This window comes from Homo sapiens, chromosome 15, assembly GCF_000001405.40.
Source record: "Homo sapiens chromosome 15, GRCh38.p14 Primary Assembly".
NCBI classification, from domain to species: domain Eukaryota; kingdom Metazoa; phylum Chordata; class Mammalia; order Primates; family Hominidae; genus Homo; species Homo sapiens.
The window spans coordinates 99,052,898-99,073,751 of NC_000015.10; the positions used below are offsets into that span (position 1 = coordinate 99,052,898).

General features: G+C 48.6%; 5 annotated features.

Moving 5' to 3' along the window:
• Nucleotides 4,931-5,532: an enhancer, noted in NCBI's record as "H3K4me1 hESC enhancer chr15:99601057-99601658 (GRCh37/hg19 assembly coordinates)". NCBI's record gives its function as "activates a minimal SCP1, AML or CMV promoter by ChIP-STARR-seq in primed H9 embryonic stem cells {active_cell/tissue: H9 hESC(primed)}" and the evidence as "EXISTENCE:reporter gene assay evidence [ECO:0000049][PMID:30033119]".
• Nucleotides 5,533-6,132: an enhancer, noted in NCBI's record as "H3K27ac-H3K4me1 hESC enhancer chr15:99601659-99602258 (GRCh37/hg19 assembly coordinates)". NCBI's record gives its function as "activates a minimal SCP1, AML or CMV promoter by ChIP-STARR-seq in primed H9 embryonic stem cells {active_cell/tissue: H9 hESC(primed)}" and the evidence as "EXISTENCE:reporter gene assay evidence [ECO:0000049][PMID:30033119]".
• Nucleotides 6,150-6,319: a silencer, noted in NCBI's record as "silent region_6862". NCBI's record gives its function as "represses an Ori minimal core promoter by ATAC-STARR-seq in GM12878 lymphoblastoid cells {active_cell/tissue: GM12878}" and the evidence as "EXISTENCE:reporter gene assay evidence [ECO:0000049][PMID:35858748]".
• Nucleotides 6,430-6,479: a silencer, noted in NCBI's record as "silent region_6863". NCBI's record gives its function as "represses an Ori minimal core promoter by ATAC-STARR-seq in GM12878 lymphoblastoid cells {active_cell/tissue: GM12878}" and the evidence as "EXISTENCE:reporter gene assay evidence [ECO:0000049][PMID:35858748]".
• Nucleotides 20,176-20,365: an enhancer, noted in NCBI's record as "active region_10148". NCBI's record gives its function as "activates an Ori minimal core promoter by ATAC-STARR-seq in GM12878 lymphoblastoid cells {active_cell/tissue: GM12878}" and the evidence as "EXISTENCE:reporter gene assay evidence [ECO:0000049][PMID:35858748]".

Below are 20,854 nucleotides of genomic sequence, written 5' to 3' on the forward strand. Positions count from 1 at the left end.
GACAAGAGTGAAGTTGCATGAGCCAAGATCACACCATTGCACTTCACTGCAGCCTGTGTGACAAGAGTGAAACTCGGTCTCAACAACAAAAAAGATTATAATACATGTTATTATGCACTTGTCAAAACCCACGGAACTATATGACACAAAGAGTGAACCTCAGTGTAAATTCTGGGTTATAGTTGACAACAATGTATCAGTGTTGGCTCACTGATTGTAAGAAATGTACCACATGTAAGAATTTCATAGGATAAACCACGGTGGGGCGGGTGAGAGAGCAGTGGATGGGTGTATGGAATTCTATGTCTTTTTGCTCAATTATTCTGTAAATCTAAAACCGTACTATAATAAAGCTTATTAATTGTTTTTAGAAAGATTATAATGCTGTATTTTTACTCCGCCTTTTCTATGTTTGTTTAGATATACAAACACTTACCACTGTATTACAATTACCTACAGCATTCGGGACAGTAACATGCTGTACGGGTTTGTAGCTTCAGAGCAATGGGCTATATCATACAGCCTAGGGGTGTACTAGGCTATGTAGGTTTGTGTAAGTAGACTTTATAATCTTCATACGACAATGAAATCACCTTATGACAAATTTCTCAGAGCGTATCCCTGTTGTTAAGCAATGCATGACTGTAGCTGGTAACTGTCGTTACCATCCTCAGGTCCAAAATAGACCTGCACAGCAGGGCACCCGAGGAGCACACGGATAATGCCTGGAGGCAGAGAATCAGGAGACAAGTGGGAGGAGGTTGACACATTCCGGAGATGCAGACATCTGTGTAGGGTCAGTTTTTACCTGCCCTCTGTTCATGTGTGGGACGTGACATTGAAGTGTTCCTGGACAAATGGACAGCCGGCATTGACATCAAGGGCAACTGCACCGTGACTGCTCTCTGAATGGGGATGCAGAGTCTCCATCCCGGAGACTGGGATAGTGCAGGATGGGGCGTGGCATGTAAAAGGCTCAGAGGGGAGACCCAAGTGTTGGGAGACTCCCCAGGCACAAGGTGGGAGGCTTGCCCACTTTCCAACACCCTCAGCCTTGCAATGTGGAGTGTGCCTCAGTAGCCTCTCCCTCAGCTCAGGGCACGTTTAATGGCAGGAAAGCAGCACCTTAGTGTTTGTCCAGTGACTGTTCTCAAGCTTAACTATTAGAGAAGTGACCAAAGGTCCGTGACATCTAATAATTTGCCAATTTGCTCAGGCACTGGTTTAAATTGCATCAGATTGCTGTGAGGAACAGGTCATCACGCAGCTTGTGACCAAACCTAGTCAACAGCCCGGCATCCACCCTCAGTGTGGATTCGTAATGTTTTATTTATAGTTGTGTGCCCTGACTCTCATTAAGGGTCTACCGGGATCTTTAGTTCAGTAGGTTCAGTCAGACTTTACTGCATTTTTACATTTATTTATTATCATTATATAAAATATCACATATGTACAAACATGTACATTTATACTTATTTGTAATATTTACATTGTTAATGCACTTTGTTATGTATTCTGTTTATATTATTATGAATCATATTGTTAAAGCATTCTGCTACACTAGGACATTGAAGATTTCTAAAGTCCTTCACACCCAGTCTTTACGGATTTCAAGGTTTTTCTCTGTTATTTATTTATTTTTGAGACAGAGTCTCCCTCTGTCACCCAGACTGGAGTACAGTGGCTCCATCTCGGCTCACTGCAACCTCCACCTCCCAGGTTCGAGCAATTCTCCTGCCTCAGCCTCCTGAGTAGCTGGGATTACAGATGCCCGCCACCACGCCTGTCTAATTTTTGTATTTTTAGTAGAGATGGGGTTTCAACATGTTGGCCAGGCTGGTCTCGACCTCCTGACTTCAAGTGATCGGCCCACCTCGGCCTCCCAAAGTACTGGGATTACAGGCGTGAGGCACCACACCTGGCCCTTCTCTACTATTTAAAATGGGCTAGCCTGACCCAAAATGGGAGGAGTATGGGTCTCCTGTATAACCCAAAACGCTTCTAGTTACCCCTCCCCTGCCTGCTTGGTTTGTGAGTGCCGTTAGCAGCGGAATTGATCACTGATATAGTCTGGCTTTGTGTCCCCAGCCAAATCTCATGTCGAATTGTAATCCCCAATGTTGGAGGTGGGAGTCTGGTGGGAGGTGATTGCATCATGGGGGCGGATTTCCCTGTTGGTACTGTCATGGAGATAGTGAGTTCTTGTGAGATCTGGTTGTTGAAAAGCGTGTGGCGCCTCCCCTGCTCCTCTCTTCCTCATGATCTGGCCATGTGAGATGTTGGCTCCGCCTTTGCCTTCCACCATGATTGTAGGTTCCCTGAGGCCTCCCCAGAATCTGATGCCATGCTTCCTGTATAGCCTGCAGAACTGTGAGCCAATTAAACCCCTTTTCTTTATAAATCACCCAGTCTCAGGTATTTCTTTATAGCAATGAGAGAATGGACTAATAAATTCACCATTAAAGTTTTTTCTCTATTATCTTTTTTTTTTTTTTTTTTTTTTTCCTGAGGCAAGTCTCTGTCACCCAGGTTGGAGTGCAGTGGTGCAATCTGCAACTTCCGCCTCCTGGGTTCAAGCAATTCTCTCATCTCAGCCTCCCAAGTAGCTGGGATTACAGCCATGCACCACTATGCCCTGCTAATATTTGTATTTTAGTAGAGATGGGGTTTCACCACGTAGGCCAGGCTGGTCTCGAACTCCTGACCTTAAGTGACCCACCCACCTAAGCCTCACAAAGTGCTGGGATTACAGGCGTGAGCCACCTGTGCCTGGCGTTTTCTCTACTATCTTTCTGATCCATGGTGTACTTGGTAGGGTGTAGTGGACATCTGTCATATTTGCCTGCTCAGCATCCCTGACCTCTTTTAATAAAAGGAACCATGATTTCTTTTAGAGACCCAAGTCTCTAAGTTTTCTTAGGCCTGGCCAACAAGGGACAAAAAAAGGGTCACTGAAAGAGCCAACCTGAGAATAAAGCCAACAGGGAGGAAAACAGGGCTGAGATATGGAGAGGGCCAGTCCATATAATGTTGTTAATCTCCTGGATCAAGCTATGCCTGAAGCTGGACCTTTCCATTATCAGTTTCATGAGCCAATTAAACTTCTTTTTTGCTTAAATCAATCTGGGTTGGATGTCTGTCTTTTCCAGAAAACAGAAAGAGTCCTGACAAGCCTGGGCTTAAAAGGGCTGCCGTGGATTTAAGAAGACAATAGTTAGGCGACCCAAAGGTAGCTGCCGTCCACTGACATTATATCCACATGTGTAATTAGCCTTCTGTCACTGGCTTCTACATCTGGTTCAAAGACACATGGCTAACTGCCAGTTATTCACACTGAGGAGTCAGTTTTAATTCCTCTCCATGAAGACCCTGCAGCTCACTTTACAGGACTGTGTATTTATTCTTTCTTCCTAGGTTGCCCGTAACTGCAAAGCCACACACTTCGGAGCCAGATGGATCCTGGCCCTGCTGTATACTAACGGTGTGACATTGGATAATTTACTTAGCCTGATTCTGAGTTCCTTGTATATGCAATAATTTTGTCTACATTCTAGGTTTCCATAAAGATTCAAATGTATATGTAAAGAGCCTTAGTTTGTAGCATATAGCTGACCCATCAAAAGAAGTGGCTGATTATACTACTGGCCACATGACTGAGCCCTCTCTTAAGTGCTAGGCCCTGTGCTAAGGGCTTTACAGGCATTATTTCATGTAACCCTCTGAACTGCCCTGGGAGGTATGCCCTCCTGTGCTCCTCAGGGGGCAGGTACTGTGTTAAGTCCTTCGCATATGAAGATATCATTAAATTCTCACAACAGTGGGAGCACAAAGATTTTAAGGAGTGTGACCAAGGCTGTGCAGCTCTGTTCCCTATGACTTTGCTCCATTGCTGGGCACCACTGCCCCTCCAAACAGGGCAGTCCCTGAGATGATGGTGGGACAGTGTGACATTCCTTTGGCTCCATCTGCCTCAAGGCATAAATGGAGAGCAGAATCCAGGCAATGGAATGGAACCATATCTCCATTTGGGAGTAGTTTCATGGTGAGGAGAACCTCAGGAAGAAGTGAAGAGCCAAGGCAGGCGTTAGGGACCCCCGGGCTCCAGCCTGCCAGAGCATCTGGAAGGGAAAAGGCAGCAGCCATGCTGCTACATTCCTGATCCTGCTAAGGACTCTTACTGGCTCCTGGGATGGGGACCTGGGCTCTGGGATGTCAGGGCAAACCCGGATGGGGTTGCCCCCAACTGGAAGTGACTGCTGGTTCTCATGGAAGCTGGTGCCTGGGATCAGCACCAAGGAGAGTGAGCCTACCTCCTGGCCTGTCAGCTAGGAAGTGCCAAGCAAGGGACCAGCAACAAAAGGTGCAGTCCTGAGCAAGACACGAGAGCGGTGGGAAAGGCCTGGGTTTTTCCACTAGGGGATAGGAGGCCTTACTGGAGCTGATCAACTGGTTCATACTGTGGAGTTGACTGTAACCAGTACAACAATGCTGGAAAGTAAAAGCTACAAGATATTCTCGCTGTCCTTTTCCCACAGAAATATACTATGTATCAAGCTAAGTAAATGTCTGGAAACCTGGAAACCCCCCAAAACTGGTAGAAGCAGTTTCTTTTCTTTATTCTTTTTCTTTTTTTTTTTTTTTAACTATTTCACACGCACACAAAAAAAAAAGAGCTAGAGAAAAACCATGTTTCTTGGATTTAATTTTGTTCACACAAATTTTCTTTTTTAAAAAAGAATAAACTGGAACCATCTAATCTAAGGTAAGCATGAAACTGTCTCAGTGACTCTTTTAAAAGTTGTCTGTAATTGTGTGACTTGGAAAATTAATTTCCTTCCAGATGAAGAAACCCGAGGCAGGTCTTATGAGTGACAATTATTAGTAACCACCTCAGGAAGCAGCTGGAACAATGAGAAGGGGCGGAGGACCGTGTGAGACCTGCAGGCAAACACAAGGGCTGCTTGCAACTTGCCTAAAATAGAAAATAGAAGTTAGCAACAGCTTCCCCGCCTGCCAGGCCCCTCTTTGGAAGGCTCTGTGCGGTAACAAGTACCATGGCAGGATGCTACCCAAGAGCCTCTCTGGAGATGGACAAGAACCCCTGGGGCAGTTGAGGCGAAACGAATGCCCCCTGGCTTCCTTCCCACCTCTGGGGCGCAGGTTCCCCACTAGAGTCACCTCCAGGTGCTGACGCCCTTTTGCTTCCTTCTGCTGAAAAAGTCAAACCAGTTACTGTTTTGATTCTTTTTTAAAGGTTTTAGAAGAATGACACATATTACACAAGCTTTATTTGGAGGAGTCATTGGCGAGGTAATGTGCTCTTAACCGTGGAACAAGCCTTGGCGCTGAAGCGTGAAGGACGCGGTTCGAATCCCAGCTTGGTCACCTTCGCCTTTTTGAGCTGCCCAGGATAATAAGAAGGTTGGGCAAGGCTCAGCCTGCACGTGGCTAGAAACATAATCCCAGCACTTTGGGAGGCCTAGGCGGGAGGATCACGAGGTCAAGAGATGGAGACCATCCTAGCCAACATGGGAAACCCCGTCTCTACGAAAAATACAAAAATGAGCTGGGCGTGGTGGCGCGTGCCTGTAGTCCCGGCCACTCGGGAGGCTAATCGGTTGAACCCGGGAGGCGGAGGTTGCAGTGAGCCGAGATCGCACCACCGCACTCCAGCCTGGGGGTCAGAGCGAGACTCCGCTACACATCACCAGGCTCACCTGAGAGGCTGGAAAAGCAGGGGCGGAGGGAGGAGTGGGGAAGAGAGGGAAGGGGGTGGGGAGCAAAGTACCCGAGCCGACACCGATCCCCAAACTGTACCTTTTCAATTATCTTAGTAACTTTCACCCCAATGGCACGGCTTATCTTAACACTGATTACCGCACCCCGCACCCCCCGCTATTCTCCCCCACTCCGCGCACTCCCAGATGCTTCACATGAAATCGACATGGCAAAGTCACAGCCTCGAACTGAAACGGTTTTCCAATTTTGGAAGCTTGACTGGCCATAAAAAGGTTTTGTTTTTTTCTTTTCTCTCTTCTTCCCTGCCCGTGACGCCGCCCCCTCCCCCGCCCTCCCTCCGCCCCCACCCCCACCCCCACCCCCTCCCCACGCTCAAGAGCGGATCCGCGCCGGCCGCGGCGGAACCTACGCGCCTGTTTTCCAGCGGCCGCTCCCCGGCGCTGCCCGGCGCCGCCCCCTGCCGGCGGGAGTCGGAGCTGCTCCCGCGTGCGCGCCGGCCGCGGCGGGCTGATGACCCAACGCCGCAGGCATCCGAGGATAACCTTTCCCTTTTCTTTCCAAGACCAAATAAGGGGGCTCTTCCCTCTGCGCGCCAGGCCCGCGGCAGTTAGGCCAAGGGGCGTGGAAAGGAGGATCCGGGAACGAGGCTGACAGTCGGCAACAACCGAGCACATTGTTCCCGCGGCGCCCGGCCTCCCCCTCCTCCCGCGGGCCCGGCCCGTGCCCACCCTGCAGCCCCAGGCGCGGGGAGCCAGGCGGGATCGGCGCGACCCCGGACCCCGTCGGCAGCTCCGCCAAGCCCTCCGGCCCCTCCCCCGAGAAGAAGTGAAGGGCGGGGTGCCCGCGGGCCCTCGCCCCGGTGCAGACCCTCCAGGCTCGCGGGGCAGCCGACCGGGGACCCCGGCGGGGGCCAGGCCCGACTGCCCAGCCTCGGAACCCTGGCATCGCCCCCGAGGGAGGGAGTCACTGGTGGCTGACAGTGTTTGGTAACCACAGAAACCGAGATCTGACCTATATTTTCGAACACGGCCTCAACTCTAGCTTTCCTTCTAGAAATCAAAGTGAGAGAATCTGACTTGCTGCTAATTTTCCTCCTGCTTTATATTCCAAAATGCCACCCGGAAGGCTAGGCAAGTCAGGAAACCTCGCTGGCGGTGTGGATGGCTGGTGAGGGTCCCCGGTGCTCCAGTTAGGAGGCAGGGGCTGTCCCCTCTGCAGCCTCCTGCCGGCCACAGCGTCCTCCTGCCCACCAGCGGCTGGTGCATTTCTGGAGGGCAATTGGATGATATTGATCAGGATTTAAAATAAGTGCATTGTTTGACGATTTCATTCCACTTCTCGGTGTTTATCCTAAGTAGGTGCTGGGAAGGGTGCACAAAGACAGACCTTCTAAGCACAGAGGATGGCCACAGTCCTGCTTAACAGTAACAGTAGTTGGCCTTAACTGAGCATTTACTAAGTGCTAGAAACTGTTCTAAACATTTTACAAATAGCTACTCACAACATCCCTATGCTGCGGGAACTGTATTATTTTTTATTTTTATTTTCTGTCGCCCAGGCTGGAGTGCAGTGGCGCCATCTCAGCTCACTGCAACCTCTGCCTCCCGAGTTCAAGCGATTCTCCTGATTCAGCCTCCCGAGTAGCTGGGACTACAGATGTGCGCCACCACGCCCGGTTAATTTTTTGTATTATTAGTAGAGACAGGGTTTCGCCATATTGGCCAGGCTGGTCTCGAACTCCTGACCTCATGATCCACCCGCCGCGGTCTCCCAAAGGGCTGGGATTCCAGGCGTGAGCCACCGTGCCTGGCCAGGGACTGTATTATTAATACAGCCAACCCTCCATATCTGTGGATTCAACCAACCATGCATGGAAAATATTCCAGAAAAAAAAATTCCGCCAAGTTCCAAAAAGCAAAACCCGAATTTGCCATGCGCCAATTACTACTACATTGAATCCACAAGAATGAAATGAAGTGTTGGCATTGTATGGGGTATTATAAGTAATCCAGAGAGATTTAAAGTGTACAGGAGGATGTGTGCAGGTTATATACAAATATCACACCATTTTATATAAGGAACTTGAGCATCTGTGGATTTTGGTATGGGGCTCCTGGAACCAATTCCCCACGCATACCGAGGGACAACCGCACCTCCATTTAATACATGAGGAAACTTCTCAGAGATGCTAGGTTTCTGCTGACCATCACCCAGCTGGGGAGTTGCACAGCCAGGAATGATGCCACGCTCTGAGGCTCCAGAGTCTGTGCCCTTGACCGCAACACTAAATGTTTATCAATGGGGATTTGATTAATTTAGAATACATCCGTATAATGGAGTATTTGCCGGCCGCTTAAATGGTGATGTAGATTGGGAATAATTGGCATGGAAAAATGTCCATGACATATTGTTGAGTGAAAACAGCTGGTTATACAAGAGTGTGCCTAACGGGATCCCGCGGTTGTGCAGAAGGGCGCTCATGGCTATGCTAACCATGGTCACCTTTGGGCAGTAGAATTTCAGGTGGCTAATTTTACAAGTATGTCGTCTTTGTTGTTGAACTCTTTTTTTTTCTTATTGTTAATCACAGTCCAGGCTGTGCTCAAATCCCACTTTCTTCACGTAAGCCTTTCCTGATCCCCAAAGTTGGAAGCTGCAGCTCCCCATGATTCTGACAAGTGGGAACTTGTATTGGAAGGTTATTCAGTGGCATGAGTGTGTACCTGTGTTGTCAGCTAAACTGTGAACTCGGAAGGGAGGCACAGACTGTTTCATCTTTTTCGGTATGCCCATTGTACATTGCATGGTACTTTACCCACTGCAGGATTCAAATATTTATCAGTAATTTGGTATAACCCAATGATGATGGAGCAATCCACAGAAAAATTAATTGCATAATTAGTTGTTTGAGAGCTGCTTCCATTAGCTAGGTGGTAAGTTCCTTGGGGACAGAGATGTACCTGTTCCTTTCCTGTCCTGGCACTAGGGCAGTGCCTGCACACAGTAGGTGCTCCATAAATGTTCGCTAAGTGACTAAGTCCAGGCTGCTCTGCCCCAAGCAGCCTTCCTTCTTGAGGAATCAAAATGAGAGCTTATTTGCTTTTCTCAGGGACCTCTGTCTGTCAAATGATTAGTCACCTATATGGACCAGACCCCTCAGCAGGAATTAGCTCTGATTAACATAGCAGAAAAGGGAAGCTCTTGGAATGGATGGGAAGGCAGGAGAAGAAGGCTTAGAAATTGGGCAGGAAATGAAGGAAGGAAGGCAAGAGGAAGACTTGGCCAAAGTCATGCCAGGGAGAGGCAGCTGACGCTGGCACCCTTGGGCACTGCCACCACCCGCACTAGATTCCCCCCTGCCCTGCCATGGCCAGCTGCCCCTGCAGTACATGGATTCTGTCTTGTTCCTGTGTCTTGGATCACTTGATTGAGAGTCAAGGCCTCAGAGGGAGGATCAGGTGGCTAAACCCAAGTGCTGTGCTGGGTGTTGGGCTGGGAAACGTTTAGCAGCTTGCTCACCAGTGGGAAAAGCCCGGATTTGCAGCATTTGCTGACTTCCATGGAGACATTCCCACCATGACTGATTTTTATTTGCCAACCATTTAACAACCAGCTCGAAGGATTCCTGAGAATGTAAAAGTTGGTGCTGGTGGGCTGGTGAGCTGTGCTCCAGCATACTCCTGTGTGTGCCCCATTGTCTGAGATTCCCACAGTAGGGAAAATCCCCTGGAAAGGAAGTGGGAAGGTTGCCAGGTAGCCCCGCAACACCAGTACATGTCCATATCTCAAAGCAATCCAGGGTATTGTGGCAGGGGCGCTATAACCCAAAGTGTGCTAGCCCTTCTACTTGTTAACAGGAGCTTTCAGAGATAATACCCAAAGGAAGGTGAACGATGAAATTTACGATTGTGGGGCAGGCCAGTGGGGCAGATGTTTGAAGGCAGAGGGGGATGAGGGAAAGATGTTTAGATCTGTACCCTTCAGATCTCAGTCAGTGTCCCTCCTATACTTGTAGCTCTCCAAGAACAAGGACCCAGCCCTGAATTATCCAATAAGTTGTCGGGAAACAGAGAAGCCTTCTCTAGGAGGGATTTACCTCGTTTCCCAGGTTTCAAGTCCAAGGACAAGAATAATTACAACAGTGGCTACTATTGTGTATAAAGAGCTTCCTGCATGTGCCAGGCATGTGTGAAGCACAGTCCTTCACCTAGGTAGCTTTTCTAAGGATAGGTCACTCATGGATAATCCCCCTGGGATTTGAGCCCAGGCTGTCTAATGGCCAAGCCATGTTCCTGATCACAAAGCCATCCTGACTTGGCCCATCTGTTGGTTGTCTCTGAATGAACCACAAGGCATGCCCACATTTTGGAAAATGGAAACCCATTCAAAACCCTGGAGCTCCCAGACACACATTAGATTAAAGAGACTGCAGAGACAATGTGGTCAAACTGATCCACACTGCCATCTGAGGTCTGCCCCTTGGCAGCTTCCTTCTATGTAAAAATGGATCCAGGGATGCCCAATGCCAGGGCTATGGTGGAGCCATGTTGGAGCACAGGACATCCGACACATCATAGGCTGTGAGTGTCATTATGCATTTTTAGAAGATTGTTTACTTAAGTCGAAATTACTACGGACATTTACTATTTTTGTTTTTAAAATCGTCTCTCAGACATCGCTTAGAGATATTCACACATCGATTTTAGAGTAAAGACGTCAAAATGTGGGAGACTGGCTTATTGAGCAGGCAGTACTCCTGGGATGTCATCATGAAAGTAACTGATTTTTGTCTCACGTTTTCCCTTGAAATGTCCCTCAGAATTGCCTTTTCTGGTTCTGGATGAAGTCTCAGGTCAGTTCCATGTCTTTCCTGGTCACTCTTAGGGGCATAGGATGTTGGAGGTGACAACAGAGACAGCCTCCTCTCCAGAGACTGGTTACATGCAGTGCCGGCTGATAACCAGAGTCTCTGCCTTCCTTCACAGTGACAGCTGCTGCCCCTCCACTGTAGGACCTACTGCAGGCAAGAGCCTGCTGCACAGGAATGGGGGAAGAGAAATGGTCATTGTCTCCCTTTCCAGTCCTCTTCCACAGCTTGAAGACGACAGACAAATTCAGACTCTTCTGGCTGAGTGAAAGTCACATCTTTTTTTTTTTTTTTTTGAGACGGACTTTAGCTCTTGGCTGGAGTGCAATGGCGCAATCTCGGCTCACTGTAACCTCTGCCTCCCGGGTTCAAGCAATTCTCCTGCCTCAGCCTCCCAAGTAGCTGGGATTACAAGCGTGCACCATCACACCTGGCTAATCTTGTATTTTTAGTAGAGACGGGGTTTCACCATGTTGTTCAGGCTGTCTCAAACTCCTGACCTCAAGTGATCCACCCGCCTCAGCCTCCCAAAGTACTGAGATTATAGGCATGAGCCACTGCGCCCGGCTGAAAGTTACATCATTTAAGAACCACTTAAGCAATGACCCATCTGAAGGGACACCTGGCCTTGGCCCTGCCTCTGCTGCTGCAGCGGGAAATGGGGTGGGGAAGAGGGGAGCAGGAAAGGGGGCAACAAAGCACATCATTCCTCGCTCAGCCGTGTCATAAGAGGTTTCCTGCTTGTGGGGCCTGGCAAGGGGCTTCCATGGGTTCTTTGGCCGGCCCCAGTGGAAATATTTGACTGCATATGTTATGACAAAGGCGGTGCATTTCCCCCAGGCAGGCTCACACCCCTGGTAGTCTACGCCACACGAGTTCTTTCTGTTGGGATTCTATTGCCCAACAGGGTCACACCTGCTCCACGGAGAAAGGTCACACATTTTCTGTTCCATCAAATTGTGGGAGTAGAGACCCATTCCGTGCAGTAGCCCCTCAACAAGTCAGCTTCTCCCTTGTCCTCAAGGTTTCCTGATCAGTCATCAGATACCAGTTCACTGGGTCCCCCTTGATGACAAGGGACACATGTCAAGCTCTCCATGTGGTCCCTTAAAACCCCATTCTCCTGATTGAGGGAAGGACGTAGGCAGCTTCACTCCACCCTTCCTGGATTGGTTCTCTCAGCTCAGGCATCTGCAGAGCCGTACCCTTTATAAATCTTCTCTAACACCTAATGACCCAGTCCCTCAAGGGGTCTAGGCTTGGAGAGTCATAGGACTGGCTTCATGCCCACCGCTTTGGAATGCTCACCACTCCAGCACCTAAAGTTCCAATTTGGCATCCTGCAAGAATTTACCAACTGAGTGATGATTACAGGGGTCTTGGCCTGATGATATTTTGATACATCCTACACTTAGGATTTAGGCATTTCATTCTCTGTGAATGAAAGAACAGACAAAAATTCTTAAAAAGGTATACACTGACCGAGGCCAGACGTGGTGGCTCATGCCTGTAATCCCAGCATTTTGGGAGGCTGAGGCAGGAGGATCACCAGGTCAAGAGATCAAGACCATCCTGGCCAACATGGTGAAACCCCGTCTCTACTTTTTAGTACAAAAAAGTAATTTAGTAATACAAAAATTAGCCAGGCATGGTGGCACATGCCTGTAATCTCAGCTGCTTGGCAGGCTAAGGCAGGAGAATTGCTTGAACCCGGGAGGCGGAGGTTGCAGTCAGCCGAGATCCTGCAACCTCCATCCTGGTGACAGAGCAAGACTGTCCAAAAAAAAAAAAAAAAAAAAAATGTATCCACTGACCACCATGTGAGATGGGAAAGAACCGGTAGAAAGGAAAATGGGCTGGTTCTTGGACAGACTGCAAGACGTGCCTGTGCTCATTTTCATCATGATCTGGAATCTTAAGAGATGTAAGAACATACTAGGAAGTGGAGTGTGATGTGAATCTAGAAGGGAACCCCAAGGGTGAGGGATCTAAGACAATGGCTGCTGGGAAGGTAAGACTAGAAGAAACCATACTCTGTGTCCTGTTCTCTCTTGCAGATTAACCATGTTCAGTCGTGGGTTCTACACTGAGTCCTCTCATGTCTTCCCATCAGAGTAGTAGCAGTGACTAAAAAGGCCCCCTGTGGAAATTGTGCCTCCCTGGCCCTCCACCTCTGCATCTGTGTTCTGGTATCCTGGAGGAGAATGCCAGTCATCAGCCATCAGCCATGGCCAGTAAGTGTCACCTAACAGCCTCCCATCTCTCTAGACCCTATGCAGTCCGAGCCAGTCAGTTTAGTCATGCTTTGTAACAAACAACCCCCAAATCTTGGTGGCTTAAAACAATGATCAGCTGGGCTCGGTGGCTCATACCCGTAATTTCAGCACTTTGGAATTACACACCTATAATCCCAGCACTTCTGTTGCCAGGCTGGAGTGCAGCAGCGCTGTCTCAGCTCACTGCAACCTCTGCCTCCTGAGTTCAAGTGATCCTCCTGCCTCAGCCTCCCAAGTAGCTGGATTACAGGAATTTGAGGCTGAGGTCAGGAATTTGAAACCAGCCTGGCCAACATGGTAAAACCCTGTCTCTATTAAAAATACAAAAATTAGCAGGGGGTGGTGGCGCACACCTATAATCCTAGCTACTTAGGAGGCTGAGGCAGGAGAATCGCTTGAACCTGGGAGGCAGAGGTTGCAGTGAGCCGAGATTGCACCACTGCACTCCAGCCTGGGTGACAGAGTGAGACTGTCTCAAAAACAAAAACAAAATAAATCAATGAAGATCTATTTCTTGATCATGTCACATGCCCATTGTTGGGAGACTAGGGGCTTGTCCTGGCACTATCCTCACCCCAGGACCTAGGTGGGCAGAGGAGCTGTGAGCCGGAGTGTTGCCAGGTGCCTGGCAGAGGAAGAGAGAGCTTAGCAAATAGTACACAGGTTCCTGAAGCTTCCACCTGGAAATAACAGCTCATTTTCGTTCACGTTTTATTGGCCAAAGCAAGTCACAGAGCTAACTCCATGTCACATGGCTAACTCCAATCCTATCATTACCCGGAAAAAAAATGAGAACTATTTAATGAACAACACTAAAGATGACCCCTGGGTCCTTCTCTCAGCCCTGTCAGAGGCATTCAGAGGACAGGTGTCTGGGTAAGCAGGAATGGGGCACACACCAGAAATGGGTTAAATAATTTGGGTTAAAAAGAAAGGACCAAGGAGAAGGTTCTACCTGTAAGACAGTGGCGGTAGTGGGCTTGGAGGGTAGGTGGGGGGAGCGGTTTGAGAGAAGCGGCCTGAGTGGCTTGGTGGGAATGGAAGAGAGTCAAGATCCCAGGAGAGTGAGAAGTGAGTGAGGAGGTTTTCATTGTCAGCTCTTGACTTCTCTGGATTCCCAACCATGGGACTTGCTTTGTGAGTGTAGTGGACTCAGCTTGGATCCAGCTGACTTCTGTTAGCTGAGCATTTGATCCACCTCCTGAGCACAGGGAAGAAATATTGACTATTCTCCTCTGCTCTCTGGGCTGTCCTCTCTGACCCTACCAGACCTGCCCTAAGCCCCTAACAGGGCATCTATCTTCCTTCCCCTTAGAAATGGGAAATGCCTCATTGAGTTGCCTGAAGAATCCTTTATTTATTTATTTAATTATTATTATTAATATTTGAGACGGAGTCTCACTCTGTTGCCCAGGCTGGAGTGCAATGGCACGATCTTGGCTCACTGCAACCTCTGCCTCCTAGCAGAGCAATTCTCCTGCTTCAGCCTCCCAAGTAGCTGGGATTGCAGATGTGCACCACCATGCCTGGCTAATTTTTTTGTATTTTAAGTGGAGACGGGGTTTCACCATGTTGGCCAGTCTGGTCTCAAACTCCTGACCTCAGGTGATCTGCTGGCCTCGGCTTCCCAAAGTGCTGGGATTACAGGCATGAGCCATCATGCCTGCCCTATTTATTTATTTGAGATGGAATCTCCCTCTGTCGCCTAGGCTTGTGTGTAGAGGCGCTGTCTTGGCTCACTGCAACCTCCACCTCCTGGGTTCAAGCGATCCTCCTGCCTCAGCCTCCCAAGTAGCTGGATTACAAGTGTGGGCCACCCTCACCGGGCTAATTTTTGTATTTTTAGTAGAGACAGGGTTTCACCATGTTGGCCAGGGTGGTCTCAAGCTCCTGGCCTCAAGTGATCCACCCACCTCGGCCTCCCAAAGTGCTGAGATTACAGGCATGAGTCACCATGCCCAGCCAGAGTCCCTTTATTTTAAAAAATATTATAAAAATTTCCAAATACTGGCCAGGCGCGGTGGCTCACACCTGTAATCTCAGCACTTTGGGAGGCCGAGGCAGGCGGATCATGAGGTCAGGAGATTGAGACCATCCTGGCTAACACGGTGAAACCCCATCTCTACTAAAAATACAAAAAATTAGCCGAGCGTGGTGGTGGGCGCCTGTAATCCCGGCTACTCAGGAGGCTGAGGCAGGAGAATGGCGTGAACCCAGAAGGCGGAGCTTGCGGTGAGCCGAGATCGCGCCACTGCACTCCTGGGCGACAGAGCGAGACTCCATCTGAAAAAAAAAAAAAAAATTCCAAATACTGAGACATAGAGAGACGAGTACAGTGCACCTCCATGTAGACATCGTGAAAGATGTTTTCCGCAGTTGCACTAAGAACAGAATTCTAAGTTGCACCATGCTAAACTCTGCAGAAACTTGGTCCCATCTTATCTGCATGAGAGCCTTATTATTTGTCCCATTTTATAAGTGAGGAACTGGGACCCAGAGAAGCTAAGCGACTTGGCCAAATTTACACAGCTAGTGAGGACAGAGCTGATGGCACATCCACCCCTGGCAGGGCCGCTGGACGGTGCTACAGCCTCAGGGGTAGATAGAGCTTGGCTAGAGGCCATGGCAGGGAAGTGGGCATGTCTGTCTTAACAAGGTGCTAGCCACATGTGAGCCTGGCTCCCCTTCTAGCCTGCTTTGCTCTGAGCCGAGGCATCACTTATCAGGAGCTAGAGGAGGAGGCAAAATCCAAGAAATCAGAAGGACCCTTATCCCCAAAGAGGGATCGTCGTGAAATGCAATAGTGTGGGCGCATAGACATTCATCTGCCATTTACGCTAGCATTTATTCATTCAGTATTTACTGAGCACTGACTCTGCACCAGCTCTGAAAATACAAAAATGAGTGAGCCAGGCCTGGCCCCTTGCCCTGTAGGGGAGACTCCTGCCTTCCTGGGTGACTGACTAGATGATCTCAGACACCTTCATTGGAGTCTCTGTTTCCTCACATGTGAAATGGGAATAATGAGCTACTGAATTATACACTTTAAAGTGGTTAATTTCATGTTCTAGGAAGTTTATTTCAATTTTAAAAATAGGCAGAGTGATAGCCTCTGTACAGCAAGACTGTTGTGAAGATTAAGTCAGCTCATGCACATAGATGAGTGGGAGCTGCTACCTCCTTCCATGCCCATGGGCAGGGGTAGCATTCCAAGTACTGAACAACCCAGAAGGCATAGGCAGCAATCACTGAGAAGGTCAGAGCTGAATATGGGCCTTGGTGTTGCTGTGTTTTCACAGATAGATCCCTAGACGGCTCTGGTTAGTGGGTGCTGTTTGGTCTTATGAATAGGTTTCCGGCTAGGCATGGTGGCTCATGCCTGTAATCCCAGCACTTTGGGAGGCTGAGACAGGCAGATCACTTGAGATCAGGAGTTCGAGACCAGCCTGGTCAACATGGTGAAACCTCATCTCTACTAAAAATACAAAAATTAGCCGGGCATGTTGGCGCACACTTGTAATCCCAGCTACTCGGGAGGCTGAGGCAGGAGGACAGCTTGAACCCAGGAGGTGGAGGTTGCAGTGAGCTGAGATCACACCCCTGCACTCCAGCCTGGGCAACAGAGCAGAGCAAGACTCCATCTCAAAAAAATAAAAATAATAATAATAATGAGTAGGTTTCCCAAAGGTGGCTGGCCTCTCGACCCCAGCTAGGCTGAGGCCCATCCATGCTGCTGGTCTCCAGGGCTGGAAGCACGTGTGGATGGACCCCACTCCTAACCTCCATACCCATCCCTTCTAATACACCTACCCTTGTAAGTGCAGGGCCAAGAATATCTGGAGAGTAACAAAAGATTAGAGACATACCCAGATCCTCCTCTTGTGCTTAAAGCCTGTGTCTTTCACTGCGGTGGGTGTCTGCAAGAGAAAGAACAGTTTGCTACTCTCGCCTTGGTAACGAGCCCTTTCTAAGGACCTGCCATGTCCAAAGTTCCCACAGAAGGATGCATCAGTCCCCGTGTACCTGCTGGAGGGGAAAGGTGTGAGCAAGAGCTTTGCCCGTTGCTGCTATGAATTCACCTGAAATAAATTAATTTGCTCTGTGCTAGTTACAGGCATGTTACAAAGCTTCTTCTTTTAAAGTGGCAGCAAATGTCTCCTGATATTAATGAGGATAATTCTGGGGGAAAAAAAGTCTCTAGAAAGGTTTTTTCTTCTTCCAGAACGTTAGGCTGTCCACATCTCATTACTTGGGGAAGGTTCTCTTTCTCCTGCCTCTTCCACGTTATTAAAAACCAGTTTGTTCCCATGTTCATGTGTGGCTACAGGATTAGACCACATGCAAGAAATTCAACAACAATTGGAACTGGGATTGGAATTGGGGTCAGACTGGGGAGAAAAAGTCTGCCAGCTCTATTTGCAGAAACCCACATGGAAGATAAATTGCAGTGAGAAACTCTGACAGTCGAGTGAAATAATTAATACATCACTGTGAAGTATTTGAAATCACATTCCTCAATATCATTTTCCCCATTTGGCTGCTACCAGTGAATTGAGCTGTGTGATCCTATAGTGTAGTGCTGCTCTCCCCCCAAGAAGCTCACTGGGATTAGGAAATGCTAATGAATTAGGTGGCACATGACTCTGAATATGCTATTATTACACCTACGTTACAGATAAGAGACTGAATCATCAAAAAAATGTAAGTAATCTGCTTGGTGTCAACTTAGAAGTCACGGTGATGGGCTGGGCGTGGTGGCTCATGCCTGTAATCCCAGCACTTTGCGAGGCCAAGGTGGATGGATCACTTGAGGTCAGGAGTTGGAGACCAGCCTGGCCAACATGGCGAAACCCCGTCTCTACTAAAAATACTAAAAAATACCACCGGGCATGGTGATTGGCACCTGTATTCCCAGTTACTCGGGAGGCTGAGGCAGGAGAATAGCTTGAACCTGGGAGGCAGAGGTTGCAGTGAGCCAAGATTGTGTCATTGCACTCTAGCCTGGGACACAAGAGCAAGACTCTGTCTCAAAAAAAAAAAAAAAAAAAAAAGTCATTGGTGATGATTTGGAAGGATCCGCTGCCCTACCCTGGCTGGTATAAATTCATAGCTTCCCCCAGGCCAAGCCTAACAGACAAAAGTGAGGGGGAATATATGTCCTGAAGTCTCTGGCCTTCAGACCTCTCCCCATTGTGTGAGGGGGGGAAAGGGGAGGCTGGGAGGAATCCTGCAGAGACAGGAGGCATCTGGGAGGACCAGTGTGGGGACTGCACACCTGCTGTTGACTGACTGTTGCTAGGAGGACAGGGTCAGATGGATTCCAAATAGAGAAACAGGCACATTGCTCCAGGGCTGCAGCTTCGGGCCCCTCGCTCAAAGTTATCTAGAAGACCTGTATGTCTTTGACATATGGCCCTGAGGGGTGTGGAGCAGGTGAGGAGGCGGGGTGCCTTGCACTTTCCCCAGTCCATTCACCTCCTATTTTGAGGCCAGGAGGATGGGACAAGCTTATGTCTCCCAAAGACTGCTGAGAAGAGACCACTCACATCGCTTTGAGCTCGGTCCAAGAGAGGAACCAGAGCTGGGAAACTTGGAGAGGTCACTGGGTCCTGAAAACGTTGTCATTTCAACCCTGGGTGGGGGGGGCTTTTATGTTTGCAGGAGATGGAGGCCTGCAAGCGTCTTTGGGAAGGTGTTTCCCTAGGTTCTGGAAAAGCCACCCAGACAAGCACACACGTAGGGATGCCATCTGCCCCATGCATGTGCGGGTTCTTGAACAGGGATGCAAACTACCGACTGCATCCACCCTTCTGATGTGATCTGTTTGGCCTAAACAATGTTTTAAAAATAAACAAGTTCACAGTTAAAAATGAGAATCTCCTTACTTCTTTTTTATGTTTGTTTGTTTTACTTTGAGATGGAGTCTCGCTCTGTCACCCAGGCTGGAGTGCAGTGGCACAATCTCAGCTCACTGAAACCTCCGCCTCCCGGGTTCAAGTGATTCCTGTGCCTCAGCCTCCAGAGTAGCTGGGATTACAGGCGCGCGCCACCACACCTGACTGATTTTTGTATTTTTAGTAGAGAGAGGGTTTCACCCTGTTGGCCAGGCTGGTCTCAAACTCCTGACCTCAAGTGATCCACCCACCTCAGCTTCCCAAAGTGATGGGATTACAGGCATAAGCCACCGCGCCCGGCCTTACTTTTTTCTTAAAGCAACAAAATCTGAAAATCTAGCATTGCTCCACCTACATTTGCAGATGGTCCCAACTCCCCTCTGGACAGGGTTTGTCGGCTCCAGTGCACCCCTCCTCCATAGCACCGATATTGCTTGTAGCTCCCCCACCCCACATGGAAGCTGAACACTTATCACTTCATTTGCACCATTGTTTTCATTATAGAAGAGCCTGTGTTTCTTTGTACCTGGGTCTCTATCAAACATAGATCAAAATAATATGGTAAGGTGTCTCTGTGACTCCTCAGAGGCATTTGGGTTTGCATCCCCTGATATAGGAGATTTTCTCTCTTGAAGTCAGAAGTCAGTGAGGTTTCTTCTGGATAATATTTTTCCTAAAAACGGACCTAGACAACCTGCAGCATCCAACTGTTGTTTGTTTTTGAGGAAATATTAATAATAAAGCTAACATTTATTGAACACTTGCTCTGTGCCTGACAATTTTCCAAGCTCTTTACATGAATTTTTTTTTTTTTTTTTTTGAGATGGAGTTTCGTTCTTGTCGCCCTGGCTTGAGTGCAATGGCGCGATCTTGGCTCACTGCAACCTCCACCTCCCGGGTTCAAGCGATTCTCCTGCCTCAGCCTCACAAGTGGCTGGGATTACAGGCATGAGCCACCATGCCAGGCTAATTTTTGTATTTTTAGTAGAGACGGGGTTTTACCATGTTGGTCAGGCTATTCTCGAACTCCTGACCTCAGGTGATCTGCCCGTCTCGGCCTCCCAAAGTGCTGGGATTACAGGTGTGAGCCACGGTGCCCAGCCTACATGAATTAATTTAGGTAATTCTCACAAGGATATGCAGTAAATACAATTATTGCTAATTTATTTTTTTTTAATTTTTTTTGAGACAGGGTCTTGCTCTGTCACCCAGGCTGGACGTACAGCAGTGCGATCATGGCTCACTGTAGCCTTGACCTGGCTCAAACGATCCTCCCGACTCGGTCTCATGATTAGCTGAAACTATAGGCACGTGTCACCATGACCAGCTAATTTATCTTGTTTTGTTTTTTTGTTGTGATGGGGTCTTGCTTTGTTGCCCAAACTGTACATTACTGCCATTTAATAGGTGACGAGACAGAGGCATAAAAAACTTGAGTAATTTTCCCAGCGTCTCTCAGGGAGGAAGTGGCAGAGCCAGAATTCAAATGCAAGTATCACAAGCCATGGGGCCCCAGAGATGGGGCAGTTACCTGCTATGCTATCCTGTCTGTGTGGGGCTTTCCTGGACCAGTTTTCACAGGTTCATCAGTCAGGATGGGCTACTAGACCATGCTACATACAGAAGTAACCCTCAAATCTCAGTGGCTTAAAACAACAAAAGCTTATTTCTTGCTTATGCCACATAATTACTGAGGGTCAGCTGATGTGTCATCGTGGTCCTGGACAGACAGAGCTAACCCATCTGGAACACTGCCAGTTGCCATGGCAAAGAGGAAAGAGAGCATAGCCCCTATGTATCAGCTCTTAAAGGCTTTTCCCCTAGAAAGTGGAGCTCATCACTTCTGCTCCAGTTTCACTGGCCAAAGCAAGTCACATGGCCAAGCCCAACTGCAAGAGGCTGGGACAGTGCAACCCTCCTGCAGAGAGAAGGGCTGATGAGCAGTTTGCAGAAGAGGAGATGAAGCTGACTTGCAAGATGCGCATTTGTGAGCCTCAGGAAATAAGTAGAGCTGTTTGGGGGCCCAGAGGACAAAGTTTGCACAGAGTTAGGAAGATGGCTTTCCTCCCTACCTCTGC